Source organism: Homo sapiens, chromosome 13 (genome assembly GCF_000001405.40).
Source record: "Homo sapiens chromosome 13, GRCh38.p14 Primary Assembly".
NCBI lineage: Eukaryota > Metazoa > Chordata > Mammalia > Primates > Hominidae > Homo > Homo sapiens.
Window position 1 is genome coordinate 41,331,521 of NC_000013.11, and position 26,781 is coordinate 41,358,301.

Below are 26,781 nucleotides of genomic sequence, written 5' to 3' on the forward strand. Positions count from 1 at the left end.
TGATACTTCAATGTGTAGTTAAATGTTGATTTTAATATTTGAAGTTATCTATATAAATATAAAACTGCTTTTCTTAAGTTGATCTCATAGAGGTAGAAAGAATGATAGATATCAGAGCTGGCAAGGGGAGTGTGGGGGAGAGATGAAGAGAGGTTGGTTAATGGGTACAAACATACAGTTAGATAGAAGGAATAAGTTTCAGTGTTTGCAGAGTAAGGGGACTGTAGTTAACAACAATATACTGTATATTTCAGGATAGCAAAAGAGAGGACTTGAAATGTTCGCAGCACATAGAAATGATAAGTAATCGAGGCGATAGGTACCCTAAATACCCTGACTTGATCGTTACACGTTCTCTGTATGTAACAAAATATCATGTACTGCCTAAATATATATAAATAATATGTATTGGTAGAAAAACTGCTTTTCTTAATGTGACTTTTTAAAAAGCACCGTATTTAGAAGGTAAATTCCCTATAATTAGTGACAAATTATATGTGGTATCATGATTTGAGTGGTAAAAGTTTTGAAGTTTTTGTGTTTTTGTTTTTGTTTCCGAGACAAGATCTTGCTCTGTTACCAGGCTGGAGCTGGAGTGCAGTGGCGCAATCACTGTAGCCTCAAACCCCTGGGCTCAAGCTATAGTTTTGAAGTTTTTGTCTTCTTTTTTGAGCATAAATTCAAAGAAATAGTTGTGAGCTGTTTGCACCCACTATGGTGTTTTAAGAACAGAACATCATCATTCCCTCAGAGTTAACCACTTTCCCGAGTTTTGCTTTTTCTTTTGCCATTACTTTTATTTTTAGAGCTCCATGTATTTTGTATTCCTGAAAACAAAAACAGCTTTTGTACTTTATATAAATAGGAGTACTCCGGTATATATTCTGTGATTTGCTTTTATTGTACAATAGTATATTCATGACCTTGAGTCGAGTTATTGTATGTAGCTGAACTCATTTACTTTTGAGCTACATAGGACGTAGACAGTATATTAGCTCTTCAGGTAGCTAATATCTTTGTTGAGTTTTTAAAAAATTATGTGTTTTTGTTGAAGTCTTTATTTTTAGTTGTAAGTGCTATAGATTATGAATTGTATATTGGGACTTCTGGTATTTCTTTTGACACAAGTCAGAGTCTAGAAAGCTAATACAACTTAAAAGTATTCTGGAGAGGCGAGGAGTTTATTTTCTATTCTCATAGTGGCAAATATTTGTTTAAATACTTGGGTTATAAGTTTATTTTTACCAAAATATTGATGAAAATTAAAAATTTTTAGTTGACTGACTTGTGAAATACCTTTTAGAAATGTATTTGATTAGACAGTAGATAGAAATTGATTTTAAAAATTCATTTTATACTATTGCATTTCAATTCCACATATGAAGAGTAGTGTTCTTCTGATCCTCCATTTTTTTGGTTTTGTTTTTGTAGAATACAGAGAGCAGATTTCTCTAATGTTTTCCAGGGAACATTAAGTCCAAGTGGATATTAATAGGCTTGGTGGGGAGGGTGTTAGTGTGCTTTTGCTGTTCTTCAGCCAAGTAAGTTTGGGAAACTGGGTTAGACACAGCTATCAGGTTTCTATAGGACTTCTCAGAGCTTTTAATATACACTTTGTGAATTTCAAAGATGGGAGTATATGCGTAGTGAGGAGTATTTTCCCTAATAAAAGTGTCTTGTGGAAGATGCTTAGGCTTACATTTCTGTATTTCTTCCTTCTCCTCTTTGTTTTAAAAAATAATAGCTTTTTGAAATATAATCCATATACCGTAAAACTCACTTTTAAAAAGTGTGTGCAATTCAGTGTTTTAGTATATTAATCATGTTGTGCAACCATCATCTCTGTCTGCTTTCAGAAATTTTTCATGACCCCAAAAAGAAACCCCATACCTATTTCACTCCCTGTCACCCCTCAACCACAGCACCTGGCAACCACAAATCTACTTTCTGTACCTATGGATTTGTCTGTTTTTGGACATTTGAAATAAATGGAATCATACCATATGTGGTCTTTAGTTTCTGACTTCTCCTCCTTTTATTGGTCTCAAGGTATATTTTGTGTTTCACAATATATTGTGTGTGGGGGGGATATTTCCTTAGGAGCTTTAAAATACATTCATATGCTTCTTAGGAAAGAAAGAAACCTCGCTTAGCTTTAAGATTACGAACAAGACTTCTTTGTTCTCTTTTTCTCATTTGGAACATGGGGCTTCAGGTTTATACTGCCTAAATTTATTTCCATAGACAATATAAGTTTACTAAAAGCCCTCAATATGTGGCAGTATAGGGTAGGAAATATATTTTTACTGGAAGAGCTTAGAGTTTTTTTTTTTATTGTAAAGTGTGATTTAGGTTAAAGTGGAACCATCCTAGACTCTCTAGGACATGCTGTCTTTGAAATGCCATAAAAATCTTTTTACAAAACAGGTCTCAGTGGAGGGGTCTGATGGCATAGGCTTTCAAGGTCATCATCGCTTTGAGGTTCTGACAAATGTGTATTTACAAAGCTCCAGTGAATATATATAAAATTATGCAAATACTTAATTTTCTCTGTGCAAAGCCGAATATTTCATGATTTTTTTGCCTGTCTAGAAGTGCTTTTATGTGCAATTAGAAAGCCGTCTTGGCATTATCAAAAGCAGTAAGATCTTCCTCAAGAAACATGATGCATCTTGAGAATGCAAGGTGAAAGTTTTGAAAAAGCCTTTCCACTTTTTAGGTAAAAGGGCTTCATACCTACAGAACAATAAGGAAATTTTCTAACACCTGAAAATATTAAGCACTCTAAAAATAATGAAGGGATAAAGCTGCTTTTCAAAATAATCAGTTCATCATGTTCCATTATGCACTGGCTGAAGGGTAGAGAGAGGGAAGGAAATAATCCAGAGTATTAAACATAGAATACTAATTATATTTTGCTCCATTATTTAGAACGGATTTCCAGTGAATAAGAAACAGTCTATTCTTGCTGTTTACACTGATTATTTTAGGAATTCATGTAAATATGGACATCATGTTTTGGGGACATCATGCTAATGTATCTAGATGAGAATTATTCAGGTAACCTGTTTTGTGAGCAGTAATACTAAACAGGCACATAATAATTGATGGAAAAAATGAGATGGATAAATAATAAGTAATCTGGGGATATGGTATGTGACTGAGCAGTTGGGTAGCTGTGTAGGCTTCTTGTTTAGGTGATGTATTCACACAGTTGCAAATTAGGTAAAAAGAGTTTATAAGTGAAGTCTTTTTCTTGTCTGTCCCCTGGCAACTAAGTTTACTTTCCTGAAGACATCCATTGTGATCAGCTGATGGTGTATTCTTCTACAAATACATTGTGCATGTGTGAGCCAAAATATGTGTGGGAGATTTGTTTAAGGTCACCCCCCCCACTGTGCTTTTTGCAAAAGTGCAGTAACATGGATTGATGGATTGCTGCGCACCTGGGTTTTCTTTTCACTTAACCTCGTATTTGGAGATTAGTCCTGGATCAGCACTTCAAGAGCTTCCCCATTCTTTTTCATACCTGCACAATCTAATCAAATTTGTCAATATGATCTGAATAGACTGAGAAAGTTGACCAAGGAGGAGTTCAGAGTGGCTTCTGCCATGAAGATAAAAGGCTTGTTTCCTCAGCGGGTGATTGCAAGAATAGAAAACAAAATATTAACTCGAAAATATAAAAACTGTCAGATATCAGAGAAGAGACATTTATTGAGTGATTACTACGTGCAAGACATTGTTTACTGTTATATTCTTATCTCGTTTGAGCCATACAAATGTACTCTTGAGGTCAGTGATGGTATTGCCTTCATTTTACAGTGATAAAACTAAGGTTTTTAATGGACAAGTTATTTGCCCAAGGTTGCACACAAATACGTGGAGAAGTCTGCATTCCTCTAAGAAACAGCGTCTCTTATTGTCTACCACAATATTGTTAATTTCGTTGTATACCAGAGGAATTACTGGAAAGGTTCGGTCTCTGAAACTATTTTTGATTTTTAAAGAAGCAGTGGTGTATAATTTAACCCAGGATGAAGTTTTATGTTGTCTTCGTAATCTGTGATTTTTCAAAAGACCAGTATTTTGTGTATGATCTAATAAGAGATTAGAGATTATCTGAATACAATCTTTATAGTTAATGGAGTTAAATTTTTTTATGACATCTAATTATATTGAGTATGCATGCATGTTTTGTTCAACATAGTCACAACAAATAAAAATAACCATTTTGGGTTGTTAGATTTTGTTGTGCAGTGTTGTGATTCATTAAGAAACCATAGGAGGTCATTTCAGTCATCTTACTTGAGGCTAAATCATTCATGACATACATGTGTTTTTTTTTTTTTCCCCCAAATGATTAGGTAAATCCATGTCCTTATGTATTAGTCCATACTGTCAAAAAATTCTTGTATCTTTGTATTTAAAATTAAAATTCTTTGAATATTCTCTGCTTTCAAAAGGTGATGACAAAAATCATTTCTGGGGTTTAGCAATGAAAGAATTATTGACTTGATGTTGCAAATAGGGTATTTATTTAGTTGTAATGTTAGAATGCCCATGGCTCAGTCTAATGTCTAACATAAATTTACTTTACTTTTATTGTTGGTCTCACTCACTGAGATGTTAAGTTCTATTTAAAAAAAAATTTTTTTTTTTTAAATTTTAATCACTGCTATATCCTCAATACCTAGAACAGTACCTGGCATGTAGTAAGTGCTTGACACATTATTGTGGAATGAATGAATGAATGAATGAGTGTTGAAGTAAATGACAAGTTGATTTGGGAAAACATTTGTAAACACCAGCTTAGTGTTTAAAAAGATCTTTTGGCTATCACTTGAATATAGTGCTGGTAGTCTGCTGCAGAGTGCTTTATGCATATCTGCAGGGTTTTGAGCTGTAGACTGAGTGTGCTAGTCAGTGAGAGATTAGGAAAGATATTTGATATTGTGCTAAATTCAGAATGGATAGTTGATAACTTTTACTTAAAACTATGACTTTTTGGGTTTATAAATTGGATAGGAGCATAATTGCTTCTGAGGGAGCTTTATTTTTATTTAGAAAATCATTTTAAGAATTGTTTGCGTGAACCAAAGAATAACAAAGTACGCTTTTGTTTCTAGGTGAAAGATTTAGAGAACTAATGGATAAGTTCCTGAGGGTTAACTTCAGTAAAGGCTGCCCACCCTTGTTTACTACTTTGAAATCTTTATATTACAATACAGAAAAGGTAAAATTTGGTATTTATTCAGATTTGCTATAGTCTTTTTTACTAAACTGTAGAAAGATGTCCATGTAAATAATGTGCTATTACTTAATCATTTTCTTTGTTTCAGTAATGTTACCTTACTTTCAGTCATGTACTGAAATTACATGCCTGTAGTATAAGTAATATCAAAGTAAAGGGTTTATGAAAGCACTAAGATTATAAAGGTTGTTTATTTTTAATAGGTATACTTTTTTTTAGTAGGATTTTAAATTTGACATTGTTACCAAAGGTATATATTTATTTTGTGATTATTATTTTATGGTACAGTTATGGATTTTTAAATTAGTTATGCATGCTTTTAAAGTTAGAGCTTGGATAATTGAGTTAGTGCAACAGTAAAATGCAATTTGGTCAAATTACTGGTACAAATTACTAGGTTTAATCAGTAGGCTACATTTTAATAAATACAGGTTTAGCTAGTTCTTGAATAAAGAATTGTCTTTCTGCTTTTTAAAATTAGAAAATAGGCCAGGTGTGGTGGCTCATGCCTGTAATCCTAGCACTTTGGGAGGCTGAGGTAGGCAGATCGCGAGGTCAGGAAATTGAGACTATCCTGGCGAACACGGTGAAACCCCATCTCTAGTAAGAATACAAAAAATTAGCCGGGCGTGGTGGTGGGCGCCTGTAGTCCCAGCTACCCGGAAGCTTGAGGCAGGAGAATGGTGTGAACCTGGGAGGCAGAGCTTGAAGTGAGCCGAGATCGCGCCACTGCACTCCAGCCTGAGTGACAGAGCGAGACTCCGTCTCAAAAAAAAAAAAAAAAATTTCGAAAATAGGCACTTAAATCTTGGTCTTAAATTAGAAAGATAATTAAAAGTTAATAGAAAGCAAGTTATACTTTTATTTCCAAGTGTTGCTTCTTATTAAAGTCTAAAATCTTGTTGTCTTTTCTATAGTCAGTTTTTTAAAGTTACTACTGGATAAGGAAAAGATTTTATTAGAAATGCCAAAAAAATTTTAGTTAAGCTTCTGTCATATTTATTTAGCTTTGATTCATAATAATTTGTAAATTTGCAGTAATTGTGAATAATACAATGTTGGAAACATCAGTTATAGATATAGCTGATTGGCATTTTCCTACCTGTGGCAGCAGGTTTCATAAACAAAAGAAACAACTGATGATATCTAGTACCCAGTTAGAAAAAAACATCATTTATGTTAAAAAAAACAAAAAAACCCAAAAAACCCTTACAATTCCTTAATGTCTGTTGTATGGTCTATTTGACTGCAGTGTTTCTGTTGTCAGTTTTTTGAGAGATAGTGATTGATTTCTGTGTAAACATGTACCCGGTGCCTGCCAATAATTTCTCTAGATTATTTAACATTGGGTAAAATTCTTTTGTTCTTTTTGGTGAGGGTGACAGAGAAGAAAGGTTAGATGAAATGCCAGAAATAAAAAGAAATCTTATGTATGTGAATTAGAGTACTTCTTTTATAACAGTATTGCAGCAGCTACTGACTACAGTGGACATTAAAGGATTTGTTTCTCTTAAGCTATCACGGGGCTTTCACAGGGTGTTGTTCATAGGCATAGGCTTTTTACTTTTTAAAAATTCTTCTAATATTGATCCAAAGTTGCCATTACAAAAATGCTAAACTTTTTTTTTGGTATTTTATATAAAGCATGAAAATTATGTTTTTGAATAAGGCACTGAGAATACACTAATTCATACAGGAACCATCTCTTTAGTGTTAATTTTAAAGCAAGCAACAGGAATGCTATATTATTAGAAATGCCAGAACACCAAGTGTGTTTGCAAAATGAATTAAACTGCAGAAAATTGAGCTCCAGTTATCTGAATTTAGTATAGTGAGAAAAAATTTGCAAGTCTAAGAACTGTTTCTCAAATAATTTTGGCCACATGTATCTGTGATTTACTCATGAGACCATTTTATTTATTTTATTTTTTAATATTTATTTTTCAATTAAATTTTGTAAGTTTTGTGTTTGACTTTTTTTGTAGTTTCAAAAAAATTATTTCAATAGATTTTGGGGAGTAGGTGGTGTTTGGTTACACAGATAAGTTCTTTAGTGGTGATTTCTGAGATTTTTGGTACACCCATCGCCTGAGCAGTGTGCACTGCACCCCAGGAAGCCATTTTAAAAACTGCACATTTCTAAGCAGCAGTAAGACCTGTTTTTAGTAGTTAGCTGGATTTTTAACTTTCGAGGAAGGATTTCAAGGAGGTGAAGTATGACAAACAGCTATTGTTTGTAAGTTTCCAAATATTAAAGAGTAATTCATGTTGGTATCATGAAAATGAAATTGTCTTTTGAAGTTAGTTTAGAATGTAGTACAGTTGCAAGAAATGTATTTCTTGTTTTTGTTGTTGTTGTTTGTTTGTTTGTTTGTTTGTTTTTGAGTCAGAGTTTCGCTCTTGTTGCCCAGGCTGGAGTGCAATGGCATAATCTCGCCTCACCGAAACCTCTGCCTCCCAATTCAAGCAAATCTCCTGCCTCAGCCTCCCGAGTAGCTGGGATTACAGGCATGTGCCACCACGCCCGGCTAATTTTGTATTTTTAGTAAAGACGAGGTTTCTCCACGTTGGTCAGGTTGGTCTTGAACTCCTGACCTCAGGTGATCTGCCCACCTCGGCCTCCCAAAGTGCTGGGATTACAGGCGTGAGCCACCGCGCCTGGCCGAAATGTATTTCTTAAATGTCTCCAGCATTTAAATTTTTTTGGCAAACTAGAGTTTGGGTAGAGTGGAAGGCAATGAGTGGTTGTCAGACAAATTCCATAACTTTTTTTTGTTTGTTTGTTTTGTTTTTGTTTTTTTGAGATGGAGTCCCACTCTGTCGCCCAGGCTAGAGTGCAGTGGTGCAATCTCGGCTCACTGCAACCTCCGCCTTCCGGGTTCAAACGATTCTCCTGCCTCAGTCTCCCAAGTAGCTTGGGAATACAGGTGCCTGTCACCATGCCCAGCTAATTTTTTGTATTTTTAGTAGAGACAGGGTTTCATGATGTTGACCAGGGTGGTCTCAAACTCTGGCCTTAAGTGATTCACCCACTTTGGCCTCCTAAAGTGCTGGGATTACAGGTGTGAGCCACTGTGCCCGACTAAGTTGCATAAGGTTTTTAAAAACATAGGTAGGTATTTGAAATGGCACTCATTTTACTTTTGTCAGTGAGGTTTTGGAGAAATCTTTGGTGAAGAAAAGGAGAAATTCTCATTTTCCCAGCTTTCTTTAATGTTGAAATAGAATCTTCTATAAACTCTGATATCAAGGTGTTCTTGTCTTTTATAAATAAGAATAAAATATTACTAAAAATATATTTATATCCCTTTTAAGTTAGATTTTGTTAAAGTTAATATTGTTTTGTTTCTTATTATCCATTATATAGGTGTCCTGTCCATAACAGATAACTTGCTGAGATGATATACATTTGCTTACTTGTTTTGAAAAGTACTTAAAAAAAATTGCCAGTCTTTGAGTGAGGCTTTGGGGTCTCTCCATTTTGTTGATCTTTTCAAAAAACCAGCTCTTGGATTCATTGATTTTTTTGAAGGGTTTTTTGTGTCTGTATTTCCTTCAGTTCTCCTCTGATCTTAGTTAGTTATTGCCTTCTGCTAGCTTTTGAATTTGTTTGCCCTTGCTTCTCTAGTTCTTTTAATTGCGATGTTAAGGTGTCGATTTTAGATCTTTCCTGCTTTTCTTGTGGGTATTTAGTGCTATAAATTTCCCTCTACACACTGCTTTAAATGTGTCCCAGAGATCGTGGTATGTTTTGTCTTTGTTCTCGTTGGTTTCAAAGAACATCTTTATTTCTGCCTTCATTTTGTTATTTACCCAGTAGTCATTCAGGAGCAGGTTGTTCAGTTTCCATATAGTTGTGCGGTTTTGAGTGAGTTTTTTTTTTTTTTTTTTTTTTTTTTTTTTTTTTTTTTTTTTTTCCGAGACGGAGTCTCTCTCATTGCGCCCAGGCTGGAGTGCAGTGGTGCGATCTCGGCTCACTGCAAGCTCCGCCTCCCGGGTTCACGCCATTCTCCTGCCTCAGTCTCCAGATCAGCCGGGACTGCAGGCGCCTGCCACCGTGCCCGGCTAATTTTTTTTGTATTTTTTAGTAGAGATGGGGTTTCACCGTGGTCTCGATCTCCTGACCTCGTGATACACCCGCCTCGGCCTCCCAAAGTGCTGGGATTACAGGCGTGAGCCACCGCGCCCAGCTTGAGTGAGTTTCTTAATCCTGAGTTCTAATTTGATTGCACTGTGGTCTGAGAGACAGTTTGTTGTGATATGTTTTCTTTTACGAAATGCTGAAGAGTGCTTTACTTCCAGTTATGCGGTCAATTTTAGAATAAGTGCGATGTGGTGCTGAGAAGAGTGTATATTCTGTTGATTTGGGGTGGGGAGTTCTGTAGATGTCTATTAGGTCTGCTTGGTACAGCGATGAGTTCAAGTCCTGGATATTTAGGTTGCTGTATATAGCATAGAGATTTCAGTATCTTTCATGCTTTACTGAAATAGTATCATTTTTACTGAAGATAATGATAAGAATATTTCTAACTTAATTTTTTGTGGATATCATCTCATTGAAAATATCAGTTGTGTATTTATAGGTAATAACCAACTTTAAATGTTCTGGTAATATGTACTGTTTTCTTCTTACAAGTGATTACAAGAAAAAGGGGACAACTTGCCAGCCGTGGTGGCTCATGCCTGTAATCCAGCACTTTGGGAGGCTGAGGTGGGAGGATCGCTTGAGATCAGGAGTTCAAGACAAGCCTGGCAACATAACAGGACTCCGTCTCTACAAAAAATGAAGACAATTAGTTGGTCATAGTGGCATGTACCTGCACTCCCAGCTACTTGGAAGGCTGAGGTGGGAGGATCTCTTGAGCTTTGGAGGTCAAGGTTGCAGTGACCTGTGATCAGGCCACTGCACTCCAGCCTGTGCCACAGACTTGAGACCCTATCTAAGAAAAAAATAAGAACATCTCCTACTTTTAGAGAATAACTGTTAAGTACTTGAAGTGCACAGATGTTTTCATCTGTCACTTTGTATTGTAGTCTTTCACATATTATATCAGACCAAACCTTTTTTTTTTTTTGAGACGGAGTCTCACTCTGTCGCCCAGGCTGGAGTGCAGTGGCGCAATCTCTGCTCACTGCAAGCTCCACCTCCTGGGTTCGCGCCATTCTCCTGCCTCAGCCTCCCGAGTAGCTGGGACTACAGGCGCCCGCTACCATGCCCGGCTAATTTTTTTGTACTTTTAGTAGAGACGGGGTTTCACTGTGTTCGCCAGGATGGTCTCGATCTCCTGACCTCGTGATCCGCCCGCCTCGGCCTCCCAAAGTGCAGGGATTACAGGCGTGAGCCACCGCACCGGGCCTCTCTCTCTCTCTTTTTTTTTTTTGAGACAGAGTCTTGCTCTGCCGCCCAGGCTGGAGTGCAGTGGCACGCTCTCGGCTCACTGCAACTTCCGCCTCCCAGGTTCAAGCGAGCCTCCTGCCTCAGCCTCCCGAGTAGCTGGGACTACAGGCGCACACTGCCATGCCTGGCTAATTTTTTGTAGTTTAGTAGAGACAGGGTTTCCTCGTGTTGCCCAGGCTGGTCTCGAACTCCTGAGCGCAAGCAATCCGCCATCCTTGGCCTCCCAAAGTTCCAGGGTTACAGACGTGAACCATCGCGCCTGGCCCAGACCAAACTTTTATTATGAATAATTGCTTACTGGCTCTATAAAATAGTGTCCATTTCTTCTAAGTGTGAATAAAGAACCTTGCCTAGTAATCTTTTTGATTGGGTCTCAATCCTTCTGTTCCCGAGTTGGCATAACAGCAATAATAAAAAATCAAAACTAGAAACAAACAACTAACATAGTATTCACAACATCTGTAGCAGCTTAATGAGAAGATTTTATATGTACCATAGTCTGCTGGTGGTCTGAGTCATAATGCCAACAAATTATTTCTGTAACGCCCATAGATAAGTTGTCCAGTGGGACAGTGAGTGAGATGTTTGACCAGCCATTTCATATGGTACACAACTAATGTGTGTTGTGTATTACCATTTCACATTGATGATATTTATAAGGAATCTTATCTCCTCACTTTTCTGTTGGCATTTGTGTAAGTTTGTAGCACTCTTCCATCAGTTTCCGTGTTCTCAAATAGTAAAAGTGCTGAGTAACTTGGCACAAAAGTTTAGAAGTAATTTTTCATCAAAAAAGTGCTATAATTACAATATAGAAAATTTGGAAAACAGAGGAAAGATCTTAAAAAATGGGAGGGAAGCCCAAACAAAATCCAATTATAAACTGCCACATGACTATACAATTTAAGAGCATTTACACATTTATTTATTTATTTTATAAATAAGTGAAATAGCATCTTGATCTGTCTCTCAGGCTGGAGAGCAATGAATGGCCCAATCGTAGCTCACTGTAGCCTTGACTTCCTGGGTTCAAGTGATCCTTCCGTCTCAGCCTCTTGAGTAGACGCGTGCCACGATGCCTAGTTAATTTTTTAATTTGTAGAGATGGGGTCTTGCTGTATTGTTCACGCTGATCTCAAACTTCTGGGCTCAAGTGATTCTCCTGCCTTAGAATCCCAGTGCACTGCGATTACAGGTGTGAGCCACCACGCCTAGCTCTAAGAGCATTTTAAATGTAATTCCTTTCACAGTTTTTTTTTACTGTGAATTTAATTGTGATGTATCTATGCAGCTGTAGTCATTTTGACCATAAATTTTGTTCTTTGTTTTCCCCCTAGCAGTTTCTTTTTAAAAATTTGTTTTTGTTTTTGGTTTTTTTGTTTGGAGTCTCGCTCTGTCACCAGGCTGGAGTGCAGTGGCACCATCTCGGCTCACTGCAGCCTCCACCTCTGGGTTCAAGTGATTCTCCTGCCTCAGCCTCCCGAGTAGCTGGGACTACAGGCGCACACCGCCACACCCGGCTAATTTTATTTTATTTTTTTGTATTTTAGTAGAGACGGGGTTTTACCATGTTGCCCAGGCTGGTCTCGAACTCCTGAGCTCAGGCAGTCTGCCCGCCTTGGCCTCCCAAAGTGCTAGGATTACAGGCGTGAGCCACTGCACCCGGCCTAGAAATTTTTTTTATAGAGGTGGGGTCTCACTGTTGCCCAGGCTGGTCTCAAAATCTTGGACTCGAGAGATTTGCCTGCCTTGGCCTCCCAAAGTGCTGAGATTGTAGGTGTGAACCTACACCCACCTCCCTGCCCCAGCAGTTTCATAAGCTTTTACTGTGTTGTTATATAATCTTCATTATCCTTTTTAGTTATTACATAACCTTTTAGAACCATCCCTCCATTGTTTGGTTTTTCAAGTTATTATTAAATATCTTTATACTAGCTTTGCTTAGGATTATTTTCTTCTCATATTTTCTTCTCTCAGAGTCATTCAGTGGGTAAAGGATATGAACATTTTTGTGGTTCTTGATAAACACAGATAAATTCGTTTTTCACAAGGTTGTAAACATCAATTTGTATTGCCACTAGCAGTGTGCCTGAAATATTTCCTGTCTTGTGTTTGTTTTTCTGTTTTTGTTTTCACATGGAAATGTTAAAAATTTAGTGGAACCAGATTTGGTGATTTTTATTTCTGTTGTGGAAGTTCATCTGTTGTTTTAAAACCATCTTGGAAAGTCCTCTTTAGAGCAGTACTTCTTAATGAGGGTGTTGGGGAGTGGATTTTTTCCCCTTGGGACATTTTACGATGTCTGGAGAGGTTTTTGATTGTCGCTGCAGTGAGGTGAGGTGTGCTACTGGCATCCAGTGTGTGGAGGCCAGGGATGCTGCTAAACATTCCACAAGGTACAGGACAGCCTTCCTAACAAAGGATTCTACTGTTGACGTGTTGGGCTAGATAATTCTTTGTAATGTAGGGCTGTCCTATGCATTGTAGGATGTTTAGCAAACTCCCTGGCCTCTACCATCGAGATGTCAGTAGCTTCCCCACCTATTTTTGTTTTGGTAACAGCTTTATTGAGATATAATTAATATATCATAAAATTTACCTATTAAAAGTATACAGTTCAATGTATATTCACAGAGTTGTGCAATCATCACTGCAATGTAATGTTTTGTCATCCCCCAAAGAGACTCCATATCCTTTAGCTGTAATTCTCTCACAACCTTCACGTCCCTCTCAGCTATAGGCAACCATTAGCCTACTTTCTGTCTATGGATTTCCCAGTCTGGACCTTTTATATAAATGGACTTATCTAATATATAGTCTTTTTGGGTCTGGCTTCTTTTACTTAATATTTTTATCCGCAATTGTAGCATGAATCAGTACTTCATTCCCTTTTATGACCATGTAACATTCCATTTTATGGATATACCACATTGATTGTTTCTACCTTTTGGTTATTTTGAATAATGCTGCTGTGAACTTTGGTGTACAAGTTTTTGTGTAGACATGCTTCCATTTCTCTTAGGTGTGTATCTGGGAATGGAATTGCTGAGTCAAATGGTAACTCTATGTTTAAACTTTTAAGGAACTGTCAGACTCTTTTTCCAAAGTTCCTCCACCATTTTACATTCTCACAAGCAGTATATGAGGGTTCTGATTTCTGCACATCCTCATTAACACTTGTTATTATTGATGATAGCCATCATAGTGGGTGTGAAATGGTAATTTCTTGAGGTTTTGCTTTGCATTTCCTGATTACCGTTGGTATTATCTTTTATGTGCTTATTGGCCTTTGTATATGTTCTTTGGGGAAATGTCATTAATTTTCTTTGCCCATTTTTAGATTGGGTTATTTCTCTTTTTATTGTTCAGTTTAAGGAAGTTTTGTTTTTGTGGGGTTTTTTTAGGTTTTTTCGTTGTTTGTGTTTTTGAGGCAAGGTCTCACTCTTGTCACCCAGGCTGGAGTACAGTGGTGCGATCTCACCTCACTGCAACCTTGACCTCCTGGGCTCAGGTGATCCTCCCACCTCCACTTCCTGAGTATCTGGGACTACAGGCATGCGCTACCGTGCCTGGCTCATTTTTTATAGAGACAGGGTTTCACCATTTGCCCAGGCTGGTCTTAAATTCCTGGACTCAAGCAATCTGTTCGCCTCACCCTTCCAAAGTGTTGGGATTACAGGCGTGAGCCAGCACGCCGGGCCAGAAGTTTTAAAAATATATTCTAGATACAAGTCTCTCATCAGATACATTATGTGAAAATATTTTCTGTTCTGCTACGGGTTGTCTTTTCATTTTCTTAATGGTGTCATTTGATGCACTAAAAATTTTTAATTTGGATGAAGTCCAGCTTATCTTTTTTTTCCTTTTGTTACTCATGCTTTCTGGTCTTATCTAAAAACCATTTCCAAGTCCAACGTCATGAAGATTTATAAACATGTTTACTTGTAAGAGTTTGCATTGAGGCATTCACTCTGAGTTCATTTTGTATATGGTGTGGTAGGAGTCCAGATTCATTCTTTTGTGTGTGACTATCCAGTTTTCCAGCACCATTCGTTGAAGAGACTCTTCTTTCCCTGTTGAACGATCTTGGCAGCCTTGTCTAAAAAAGATTAACCATAAATGCGAGGGTTCACCTCTGGACTCTCAAGTCTGTTCCACTGATGTGTATGACTGTCTTTATTGTTTTCTATTATTCTTTTATGAGATTGTTATTCAGGTGCAGCCACAATAGGAGACACTGGAGAGGCTCAGGAAAAAACACAGTTTATCACACAGGTCCTAGAGACGAGGCATGCTGTGCCATGCCATGCTGGGCCACTTGGGGAAGACGCTAGGGTGGTTAGGAGGGAGGGGAAGGATTAGGCTACTGCCTTCATCGAGGTTTCCTTAGGGTAGGGCAGGGCGAACAGTTTAGTTTGAATAATTTTGGCATACTTTAGACTGGCGGGGTGGTCTCGTTGCCTGGCACCTGGCTCTGGGATGATTAGGTAGAGGAGTAGTGCCTCTTGGGGTATAAGGGCCAGATAGAGGAGATATGGCTCTGGATTTTGAATAGCTTGCATATTAAAGACATACTCCTAGCTGGGCCCTTTGTTATCTTTAAGAATTGGCTAGACCTTGGAGGGACAGTTTCTCAAATAGCTAGAAAGGTTCTTTAACATGTTAAACATCAGTATACAAGAAAAGCTAAAAGTCCATCTGTGCCAGTGCCATACTGTCTTGCTTACTGTAGCAGTGTGGTAAGTTTTGAAATTAGGAAGTGTGAGCCGGGCGCGGTGGCTCACGCCTGTAATCCCAGCACTTTGGGAGGCTGAGGTGGGTGGATCACGAGGTCAAGAGATCAAGACCATCCTGGCCAACATGGTGAAACCCCATCTCTACTAAAAATACAAAAATTAGCTGGCGTGGTGGCAGGCATCTACACTCCCAGCTGCTCGGGAGGCTGAGGCAGGAGAATCACTTGAACCCAGGAGGCGGAGTTTGCAGTGAGCCGAGATTGAGCCACTACACTCCAGCGTGGCGACAGAGCGAGACTCCGTCTCAAAAAAAAAAAAACAAAAACAAAAACAAAAAAAGAAATCAGGAAGTGTGACTCCTCCTACTTTGTTCTTCAAGACTATTTTTTTATTATGTTTGTTTTTCAAGACTATTTTGGTTATTCAGGGTTCCTTTTATTTCCATTTGAATTTTAGGATTGGCTTTTCTATTTCTGCAAAGCAGCCATCTGGGATTTTGATAGGGATTTTGTTGAATCTGCAGATCATTTTGGAAGTATCCTCAACTTAACAATATTAAGTCAATCTTCGAACATGGGATGTCTTTCTTTGTATTTAGGTCTTTGATTTCTTTCAACCAATGTTTTGTAATTATTGTACAAGTCTTGTGCATCTTATGTTAAATTTGTTCCTAAGCATGCCATTCTTTTTGATGGTAGTCTAGATGAAATTGTTTTTATAATTTCATTTTTGGATTATTCTTTGCTAGTATATGGAAATACAGTTGATTTTTGTATGTTGATTTTGTCTTCTGAAACCTTGCTGAACTTGTTTATTCGTTGCTATAGATGTTTTAATAGATTCCTTAGGATTTTCTATGTGCAACATCATGTCATCTGCAAATAGATCGTTTTACTTCTTTCTTTCCAATCCATACCCTTTTTATTTCATTTTCTTGACTAATTGCCCTGGGTACCTTCAGTACAATATTGACTGGAAGTGGTGAGAGTTCTTTGTCTTGTTCCTGCTCTTAGAGGAAAAGCATCTAGATTTTTCACCATTAAGTACTGTGTTAGCTGTGGGTTTTTCATATATGTCCTTTGTAATGTCAAGGAAGTTCCCTTCAACTCCTAGTTTATTGTGCATTTTTATCACGAAAGTCTGTTACTGAGTTCTGTCACATGCTTTTTCTGTGTTAAGATGATTATGTAGGTTTTTTTTTAAAAAAAATCTATTGATATATGGTATATTTACATTAATTGATTTCAGATGTTAAACCAATTTTTATTTTTTTTTTCAAGATGCAATCTCACTCTGTCACCCGGGCTGGAGTGCAGTGGCACAATCTCGGCTCACTGCAACCTCCACCTCGCGGGTTCAAGCTATTCTCCTGCCTCGGTCTCCCAAGTAGCTGGGACTACCGGCGTGCACCACCATACCCAGCCAGTTCTTCTATTTTTTAGTAGAAACGGGATTTCACTATGTTGCACAGGCTGGTCTTGAACTCCTGACCTCAGGTGATGCACCCACCTTTCAAAGTGCTGGGATTACAGGTGTGAGCCACCACTCCTGGCTGATGTTAAACCAGTCTTGCATTGCTGGGTGAAAGCCTACTTGGTCATGGTGGGTAATTCTTTTTCCATATTGATGGGTTCGATTTGCTAGTGTTTTGTTTAGGATATTGCATTTATATTCCTAAGAGATAAAGGTCTAGTTTTCTTTTCATGTCTTTATCAGATTTTGCTATCAGGGTGATACTGGCCTCATAATGAATTGGGAAATGTTCTCTCCTCTTTTTTTGGGGGGGCGGGAAGAGTTTGTGAAGAATTGGTATTATTATTTCTTTAAATGTGTGGTAGAACTTACCATTTACCAGTGAAGTCATATGGGCCTGGACTTTTCTTTGTGGGTAGTTTTTTATTATGTATTCAAACTCTTCATTACTGGTTTATTCAGATTTTCTATTTCTTCTTGACTGGCTTTTGGAAATTCATGGTTTTAGATATTTGTCTATTTCGTCTATGTTATACAGCATTGGCATATGCGTGTCATAGTCTGTTATTTCTATAAAGTCAGTGGTAATATCCCCTCTTACTGTTTTTGGTTTTAATATTTTGAGTGTTCTCTATTTTTTACTTTGTCAGTCTAGCTAAAGGTTTGCCAATTTTCTTGATCTAAAGAGCCAGGTTTTGGGTTTGTTGACTTTCCTCCTCTATTTCATTAATTTTCACTTTATTGTGTCCTTTTGCTTGTTTTAGGTTTAATTTGGTCTTTTTTCTAATTTTTTTTTCTTTTTCTTTTTTAAATCTTTGTTTAGAGACTGGGTCTTGCTCTATCACCCAGGCTGGAGTGTAGTGGTGAGATTGTAACTCATTGTAGCATCAAACCCTTGGGCTCAAGTGATCCTACTACCTCAGCCTCCCAAGTAGCTGGGACTACAGGCATGTACCACCATGCCTGGCTAAGTTGTTTATTTTGTAAAGATGGATCTTGCTGTGTTGCCCAGGCTGGTCTCAAACTCATGGCCTAAGTGATCCTCTCACTTAGGCATCCCAAAGTGCTGGGATTATGGGCACGAGCCACTGTGCCTGGTCCTTTCTTTTTTTTTCTTATGTGTGCTATGTGTTACATATGTTTGTCTTTTATTTTGCTGATTTAGTGAGGAAAAACAGGTTTTCTTGAAGGATAAAAATCTGTATTTATTCCAAAAGATAATTAGTAAAATTAGTTTAATTTGGTTTAATTTTTGTTCAACTAAAGGTAACAGTCTGTATACTTTTTAAAATGTCATACGTGGCCGGGTGTGGTGGCTCACGCCTGTAATACCAACCCTTGGGGAGGCCGAGGTGGGTAGATTACCTGAGGTCAGGAGTTCATGACCAGCCTGACCAACATGGTGAAACCCTAAATCTACTAAAAATACAAAAAAAAGTTAGCTGGGCGTGGTGGAATAATCCCAGCTACTTGGGAGGCTGAGGCAGGAGAATCGCTTGAACCCGGGAGGGGGCAGTTGCAGTGAGCTGAGATCGCACCATTGCATTCCAGCCTGGGTGACAGAGCGAGACTCCGTCTCAAAAAAAAAAAAAAAAGTCAAACATGAAACCAAAATGTGCCAGGCCACCGTGGTGGCTCACGTCTTTTATCCCAGCACTTTGGGAGTCCAAGGCAGGAGGATTGCTTGAGCTCAGCCTGGGCAATGTAGTGAGGCAGTGTCTCTACAAAAAAATACAAAAATCAGCCAAGTACAGTGGCGCATTCTAGATACTTGGAAGGCTGAGGTGGGAGAACCACTTGAGCCTGGAAGGTTGAAGGCTGCAGTGAACTTAGACTGCATCACTGCACTCCAGCCTGGGTAACACAGCGAGACCCTGTCTCCCCACTTCCCTGGCCAAAAAAGGAAATCAGTTTTGTTTTTTTTTTTTTTGAGACGGAGTCTCGCTCTGTCCCCCAGGCTGGAGTGCAGTGGTGTGATCTCGGCTCACTGCAAGCTCCACCTCCCGGGTTCACGCCATTCTCCTGCTTCAGCCTCCGGAGTAGCTGGGACTACAGGCGCCCGCCACCATACCTGGCTAAGTTTTTTTGTATTTTTTAGTAGAGATGGGGTTTCACCGTGTTAGCCAGGATGGTCTCGATCTCCTGACCTCATGATCCACCCGCCTCGGCCTCCCAAAGTGCTGGGATTACAGGCTTGAGCCACCGCGCCCTGCCAGTTTTTTTTTGTTTTTTTTTTTTGTTTGTTTGTTTTTTTTAAGATAAGAGTTTCACTCCCGTTGCCCAGGCTGGAGCACAATGGCGCAATCTTGGTTCACTGCAATCTCCACCTCCTGGGCTCAAGCGATTCTCCTGCCTTAGCCTCCCAAGTAGCTGGGACTCCAGGCACGGGCCACTACACCCAGCTAACTTTTGTTGTATTTTTTTGTAGAGATGGGGTTTTACCATGTTGCCCAGGCTGGTCTTGGGCTCCTGGGCTTAAGTGATCTGCCTGCCTCAGCCCCCGAAAGTGCTGTGGGATTATTATAGGCATGAGCCACTGCACCCAGCCCCAAAATGTTTGAAGGCTCTAAGAAGAGGTGTACATTGATTTGGGACTTCCATATTCACTGTTAGAAAGTACTTGTTTTTTAGCCATTAGTTTGTGAGTGTCAGGCTCTTAAGTGAAGACGTTCAATGAGTCAACATCCAGGTTTGCCTAGGCTGGTACACTTTGATTCCATTGAAGTTGGACATCAGTGCTCGTGTGCTTTGAATATGAATATTTGTATTTTCATAAAGTTGGGGAAAATAATACGTAAAGCATTGGTGTGTGTTTTAATTAAATAATAAAGTTTGTAAAGTACTTGGTTTGAATATGTTCAAGAAATGGTAATTTTCCCTTACTCTCTAAATTAGATGGTAAGTCCCACCCTTCTCACACCTCATCTCTGTAGTTACTTTTATTTTATTGTCATTGTTCTTGGACAGTTTACCTCTGTAACTAGCCCCTTCAGCACCAAAATTATCACTAGTAATTGTGCTTATATCAGAACCTAATTCAGCAATTTTGGTCCTTGCTGGTAAAGTAGTGTACTTAATTTAGTAACTTTCATATTGCAGTGACATTTTAAACCTGTGATTTGTCTCTTCATTGCGAAAAAAATGTGTATCGGTTATGATGTTGTGGGACTTTGTCTTTAAGGTTAATGAAGAGTTCTTTTAACTCTTACATAAGAAAAGCTGGTCACCAAGGACATACTTTAGGAAATTATAACAGTTATGGTATTATCTTAGGTTAGATTTTATTAACAAAGATAAAAAGCTTCTTCCATCTTGATCTAATGTAGCTGTTAGAAGAAAGTAAACCAGGAGAAGGTGGCTGAACTTGGAAAATTTTTCACATTGTAAGAAAAATGTGGGGCCATAAAATTTAAGGTGGCCATTTATGTTTTTGTTGCGATCTCAGATACTTAAGTGGATTGGCTTTCTTGACTTTAAAATAATGGAGGCAAAACACCATTTTAAAGAAGAATAGCTATTACATATTAATTTGTCATATTACACACTACCTAATTAAATATAAATGGTAAGTAAACTTGAGCGAAATAAGTCTTATACTTGAGTAAAACTTCTTAGATTAACTTTCATAGAAAATTTAGAAAATTGTTCACTTAATTACTGAATGAGAAGTAACCATAAGGCCAGGGCTGGTGGCTCATGCGTGTAATCCTAGCACTTTAGGAGGCTAAGGTGGGCAGATCGCTTGCGCTCAGGAGTTTGAGACCAGCCCGGGCAACAGGGCAAAACCCCGTCTCTACAAAAAATACAAAAATTAGCCAGGTGTGGTGGTGCATGCCTGTAGTCCCAGCTACTCAGGAGGCTGAGGCAGGAGGATGGCTTGAGCCTGGGAGGTGGAGGTTGCAGGCAGCCGAGTTCACACCACTGCACTCCAGCTTGGGTGAGAGAGTGAGACCCCGTCTCAAAAAATAAAAATAAAGTAACTATAAATTTTGGCTTGGCACAGTGGCTCATGCCTGTAATCTCAGCACTTTGGGAGGCCTAGGTGGGCGGGTCACCTGAGGTCAGGAGTTGGAGACCAGCCTGGCCAACATGACGAAACCCCCTCCCTACTAAAAATACAAAAATTAGCCAGGCATGGTGGTGCACACCTTTAGTTCCAGCTACTCAGGAGGCTGAGGCAGGAGAATTGCTTGAACCTGGGAGGCAGAGGTTGCAGTGAGCTGAGATCACACCACTGTACTCCAGCCTAGGCAACAGAGTGAGACTTGGTCTCAAAAAAACAAAAATTTATGTATATATAAAATATATTCAAGAAGTATGCCTAATGAACCGCAACGGTCAGTCCCCTTTGTTGTTTTTTTAAATGTAGGAGATATCCTATGAATTTTCCATTACCTTTTTTCCCCCGTAATCAGATCTTGTTTTGAAGTTCTGAATCTGGAGATCTGTTTTATTCAGAAGTATTTATATTCTTTTATGAAGGATTATATGTAACTTCAGTGTATGTTTTGTGGTACCCTTTATTGTTAAAACTGACTTCTTTAAAAATAGGTTTCACCCCTTCATCTCTACTAAAAATAGAAAAATTAGCCGGGTGTGGTGGCGGGTGCCTGTAATCCCAGCTGCTCAGGAGGCTAAGGCAGAGAATTGCTTGAACCCAAGAGGCGGAGGTTGCGGTGAGCAGAGATCGCGCCACTGCATTCCAGCCTGGTGACAGAGCGAGACTCCATCTCAAAACAAAACAAAACAAAACAAAACATAGGTTTCACCCTAGAGATGCATAAACGTCCGCCCTTTTAAAAGCCACCTCTGGTTGCAGTTTTAGCAACTACCAGTAGATGGCGCAAGTTCCTGAAAAAAAATTATTTGCCTTTATAAGTTTAACAACTTGAGTACTAAATTTCTAAGTTTGTAAAAAAGGTTTTTAAGTTACAGATATTCTAGGTGAGATTGGTGGAGAGGTTATGGTGGATTAAAAATGTCTGTTAACTTTAATTTTGCTTAAAAAAAAGTCTTTGCAATTTTTTTTTTTATCAGTGGTTCTCAAACTCTTAATTGTGTATCAGAATTTACAGACGGCTTGTTAAAAACAGACTGTACAGGCCAGGCATGGTGGCTCACACCTGTAATCCCAGCACTTTGGTAGGTGGAGGCGGGAGGATTGCTTGAGCCCAGGAGTTCCAGACAAGCCTAGGCAATGTAGTGAGACTTTGTCTCTTAAAAAAAAAAAAAAAAATTATCAGGGCATGGTAATACATGCCTGTAGTCTTAGTTGCTTGGGAGGCTGAGGTGGGACAATTGCTTGAGCACAGGAGTTCAAGGCTACAGTGAGCGACTATCACACCACTGCACTCCAGCCTAGGTGACAGAGGGCGACCCTGTCTCTTACACACACACACACACACACACACACACACACACCCCAAAACAGATTGTACAGAATATTTCTAACAAATTGCCACATGATGGTGACACTAATGTTTAACAGTATTATTAATGATCTGAAGATAACACTTTCAGAACCATTGTTTTTAAATTAAACAATCTTTGTTTTTTAAAAAAGAAAACACAAAGAATGTACCCATTTTCTACTACCCTAATGTCTGGTCATATTTTCATTGAGTATGTGGTGTCTGTACATACATGTTTTAGTGAAGTCATAGTATGTGTAAATTTTTTTCACATTCTGCTTTTTCTCTTATTTACACATGTTCCTTACTGTTAATGTATAGTCCTACCTTATTTCCACATTGTCCATTGAACTTTACTAGAGATCCTGCCGTATACTGCAGCATCATGTGAGAAAGCTATCATGTAGGCCTGAAAAGTGTTACAGTTTGGCCTTGTGTTTTGACTAGTGTCTAGGATGATCAGTGGTTTCATGGACACTGTCCTGTGTCTTTGTGGCATGAGGAGTAATCCGGATTCAAAATAAAGCTAATTAAATTATACCTTCTTATATTAAATGGTATGCGTGAAGAGGTTTCTTTTGTAGCCATATATGCAAAAATCTGTTGAGTTTGTGACACATGACCACTTCAGTGTGAGGGGAACCATAGTGAATTTTGGTTAGTTTGTAAAGAGGCGTAGGGAAATAAGAGAAATATAATTGTTTTTCTGAAAATAAAGATGTCAAAGCCCCAGTTTTCACAAAACAATGAAGAAATATTCCTTTTAAAATATAGAACGCTTCATGAATGTGTGTGTCATCCTTTCACAGGCGCCATGCCAATCTCTTACTGTTCCAATTTTGGTATACGTGCTGCTGAAGTGAGCACCAGACCTTATTTTGTAGTAGGTAGATAAGTAAATTGGTTAAGAAACCCCGTAATTATAGTAAGTACAATACAATTATTATATTGTAGGATTGCTAACAATAATAAGCAAAAGAGTCATTTTTAATTTCACTTATTTTCAAACCTTGAATCATTTCACTTTTTTGCAATGCATGACATTTTAGAAAATCTGAATATTTATATAATGTGTCCCTTATAGGAGTGGTCCATTTTTTTTTTTTTTTTTTTGTCTTGTGAGTGGTCCATATATATAGCAATGTCCATTATTTTGTGTTTTTTTCCACCCCTTCTCCAAAGCGGGGAAATACTCATGTTAGGAATGGGGACAAAGCAGATACCCTAGTCTTTTAATTAATTTATAGTTCTGAAATAAGCTGTATATTTTCCAAATGTAATTTAAACCATAATAGGTAAAAATACCTTCAAGAAGATATTTTTAAATTTTAAAAATATGTTTCTTTAACAGGTTTCTATAATCCAGGAACTTGTTACTAATTATGAAGCCTCTCTTAAAACGTGTGACTTTTTTAGCCCATATGGTAAGTTTAAATTAGATTGAATTGGAATTTGATTACTCATTTCATTTTTAATCACAGTAATGCTCTTTTATGTATATTATGTGTGTGCTACCTAATGGCTACTTAATAAATGGCTTTCAAATTGGTGAATGAAATGAGAGCACTTTCAATCTTACTTAATTTAAATTTTCCATAATCCTATGAGATGGGAGTTAACCTTGTGCGGTTTTTTTGTTTGTTTGTTTGTTTTTTGAGACGGAGTCTCATCCTGTCACCCAGGCTGGAGTACAATGGCACAGTCTTGGCTCACTGCAACCTCCGCCTCCTGGGTTCAACTGATGCTCCTGCCTTAGCCTTCTGAGTAGCTGGGATTACAGGCGCCTGCCACCACTCCTGCCTAAGTGTTGTATTTTTAGTAGAGATGGGGTTTCACCATGTTGGCCAGGCTGGTCTCGAATACCTGACCTCGTGATCCACCCGCCTCAGCCTCCCAAAGTGCTGGGATTACAGGCGTGAGCCACCACACCTGGGCTTAACCTTGTTTTAACATGAGGAAACATACTTGAGAGGTTGAATGGCTTGCCTAAGACCATGTAGTTAGTTTATATTGGAACCTGTTTTTCCTGAATCCCTAAATTCTCTGCTTTTTCTACCCTCTTATTACTTTTAATCCTCTTTAGTTTGGTCCTTTGTTTCTATATTTGTAGGAGCATATATAAATCAAGGCAAGTTACTTTAGAAAACACTAGAATGTTTTCAGTCATGCACAAAGTAACTTCCGGGTTCCTTATGTGTCTCTTACATGTCATTACTCTGAGTATTTTTCTGATGTTTTTTAAGAGAGGGGATCTCACTGTGTTGCGCAAGCTGAACTTCTGGGCTCAAGTGATCCTCCCACCTCAGCCTGCTGAGTGGCAAGGACTACAGGCGTGTGCCACCATGCCTAGCTGATTTTGTGTGCGTGTGTGTGTGTGTGCATACGCGCGCACACGCGGGGGTTTGGGGGAGGTTTCTAGAGGTGGGATTTTGCCATGTTGTCCAGGCTGATCTTGAACTCCTGAGCTCTAGCAATCTGCCTGTCTCAGCCTCCGAAAGTGCTGGGATTACAGGTGTGAGCTGCCACACCCTCTATGAGTTTTTTTAAGGCACATTCCAGACTTACTGTTTCATCTGTAAATATCTTAGTGTGCATCTCTATTTAAAACACGTAAACAGAAGAAGTCATCGCAGTGCCATGTCACACAAAACCTCATAACATAATATCTGATACCCAATCTTAGTGTGCATCTCTATTTAAAACACGTAAACAGAAGAAGTCATCGCAGTGCCATGTCACACAAAACCTCATAACATAATATCTGATACCCAGTCCGCATTCACATTTCCCCCATTATCCAAAAGAAGTCTTTGTGTTTGGTTTATTTGAGTATAGATCCAGTTAAGGTTCACACCAAATAATTGGTTGTTATATCTCCATAAGTTGATGGTTATGTCTCATTATTTTAATCTAGAACAATAACTCTCCCCTCCCTTTCAAAAAAACAGTCATTTGTTGAAAGGTCATTTGTCTTACATATCCCATATTCTAGATTTGGTTGATTGCCTTTCTCATGGTATCATTTGCTGTATTTCACTGTCATTCATACTTGTAAGTTATAGTTAGGTTTACTTGCTGGATTAGATTCAGGTTCTGTTTAAATACGGGTGGTGCTTTGTGCTTCCTGTTGTGTCATGTCAGGAAGCTTGAGACATTCTGGTTTTCTCTCTTTTTTGATGTTAAGATTGATAAAGATTCAGATGTTGTCAGCCTGTTATACTCATTAAAAAGGTCCATGACGGCGTGGGGGCACGGTGGCTCCACACCTGTGATCCCAACACTTTTGGGGATGCTGAGGCAGAAAGATCTCTTGAAGCCAGGATTTGGAGGCCAGCCTGGGCAACAAAGTGAGACCCTGTCCCTACAAAAAATTAAAATATTAGCCACGTTCGGTGGTTCTCACCTGTAGTCCCAGCTACTTGTGAAGCTGAGGCATGAGGATCACTGGAGCCTAGGAGTTCCAGGCTACAGTTAGTTATGATCATGCCACTGCACTCCAGTGTTGGTGATAGAACAAGACAAAAATTCCTCATTGGCCTCTCAGCAATTGAAGATCATTGCCTAGATCCCTTGTTGATTCTAATAATTTCTGCATTCGTTAGCTGGAATTTTTCTTATAAAGAACTTTCCTTCATCAAATACTTGGTTCCCTTGAAATATAGTTTATATAAGAGGAACAGAGTAGAAGCTTAACTCATTGCCTTTATTTTATTATTTGTGTTTTAATGTGTGCTATAGTATGTTTGCATGTCATTTGATCAGCTATGCTAGGAAACCTGTTTGTTTTGATGTAGTGTGGGTATATTCACTCTTTCCTCCTCATTTTTACACAAGTATGTCTTCCCTTCTGAAATCCATTTTGAGAGCTTGATATTTCTTTTCTGCTCCTCTGTAGTTAGAGGGTACAGGATGGGGAACAGGATAGAACTCAGGTAAGTGTATATATGTGACTGCTTTTTTAAGAGGACTGGGCTGTGTTTTTTCTACTTAGGTTTTTGTCAGATGGTAGGGTTGTTTCTACTTTGTCAGGTGTATCTTCTTCCTATAGGTCATAGTCTTCAACTTTGGGTATCCCTGATTTAGTATTGAGGCCTGGAAAATGGTAAGCCATGGCAGTTTGGCAGTTCTTGCCTCTGCTGAAATCTTGCAGTGGTAGTTAGGAAATCTCTTTGCCAAGTTTTTTTCCTTGACTTTTCCTGGTCTTGCTGCCCTTTTGCTTTCAGGCTGAGAGTTCACAGAATTAGTTTGACGTATATCTTTTCCCCAGCATTGTTTCTTTGGAGTGAGATTGGGGTTAGAAGCCTGTCAAAGTACAATCTTATTTCTCTACATGGCTGCCACTTTTTGAACTTTATGAAGTCATACCTCTTTCTTTTGAAATTAGTAGTTTTTGCTGAGTCTTTCTTGCTTATTATTATTGCAATAGTCATTTCATTATGAATTAGGAGAGAGAAAATATGTGATTTGCTTTACATTCTTTCTATAATAATTTAATATTTGTTTGATTGC

General features: G+C 38.5%; 1 protein-coding gene and 1 pseudogene across 10 annotated transcripts in view, besides 1 other annotated feature; one reads left to right on the forward strand and one right to left on the reverse strand.

Moving 5' to 3' along the window:
* Positions 1-26,781, forward strand: part of NAA16 (N-alpha-acetyltransferase 16, NatA auxiliary subunit) — a 65,764-nt gene that overhangs the window by 20,254 nt on the left and 18,729 nt on the right. For 4 of the 10 annotated variants that reach the window (NM_024561.5, XM_011535228.3, NM_001110798.2 and 1 more), the window contains 2 exons: positions 5,130-5,236; positions 23,624-23,696. The exons of 1 other annotated variant lie outside the window; for it this stretch is intronic. In NM_024561.5, coding sequence (NP_078837.3) covers positions 5,130-5,236; positions 23,624-23,696 — 180 coding nt within the window. Of the gene's footprint in view, positions 1-1,856; positions 4,466-5,129; positions 5,237-9,890; positions 11,010-23,623; positions 23,697-26,781 lie in introns of those variants that run through there. 5 more of the 10 variants (XM_017020746.3, XM_047430611.1, NM_018527.4 and 2 more) reach the window with 5 other exon arrangements.
* Positions 10,689-11,189: an enhancer, noted in NCBI's record as "H3K4me1 hESC enhancer chr13:41916345-41916845 (GRCh37/hg19 assembly coordinates)". NCBI's record gives its function as "activates a minimal SCP1, AML or CMV promoter by ChIP-STARR-seq in primed H9 embryonic stem cells {active_cell/tissue: H9 hESC(primed)}" and the evidence as "EXISTENCE:reporter gene assay evidence [ECO:0000049][PMID:30033119]".
* On the reverse strand, positions 23,037-23,139 carry RNU6-57P (RNA, U6 small nuclear 57, pseudogene; annotated as a pseudogene).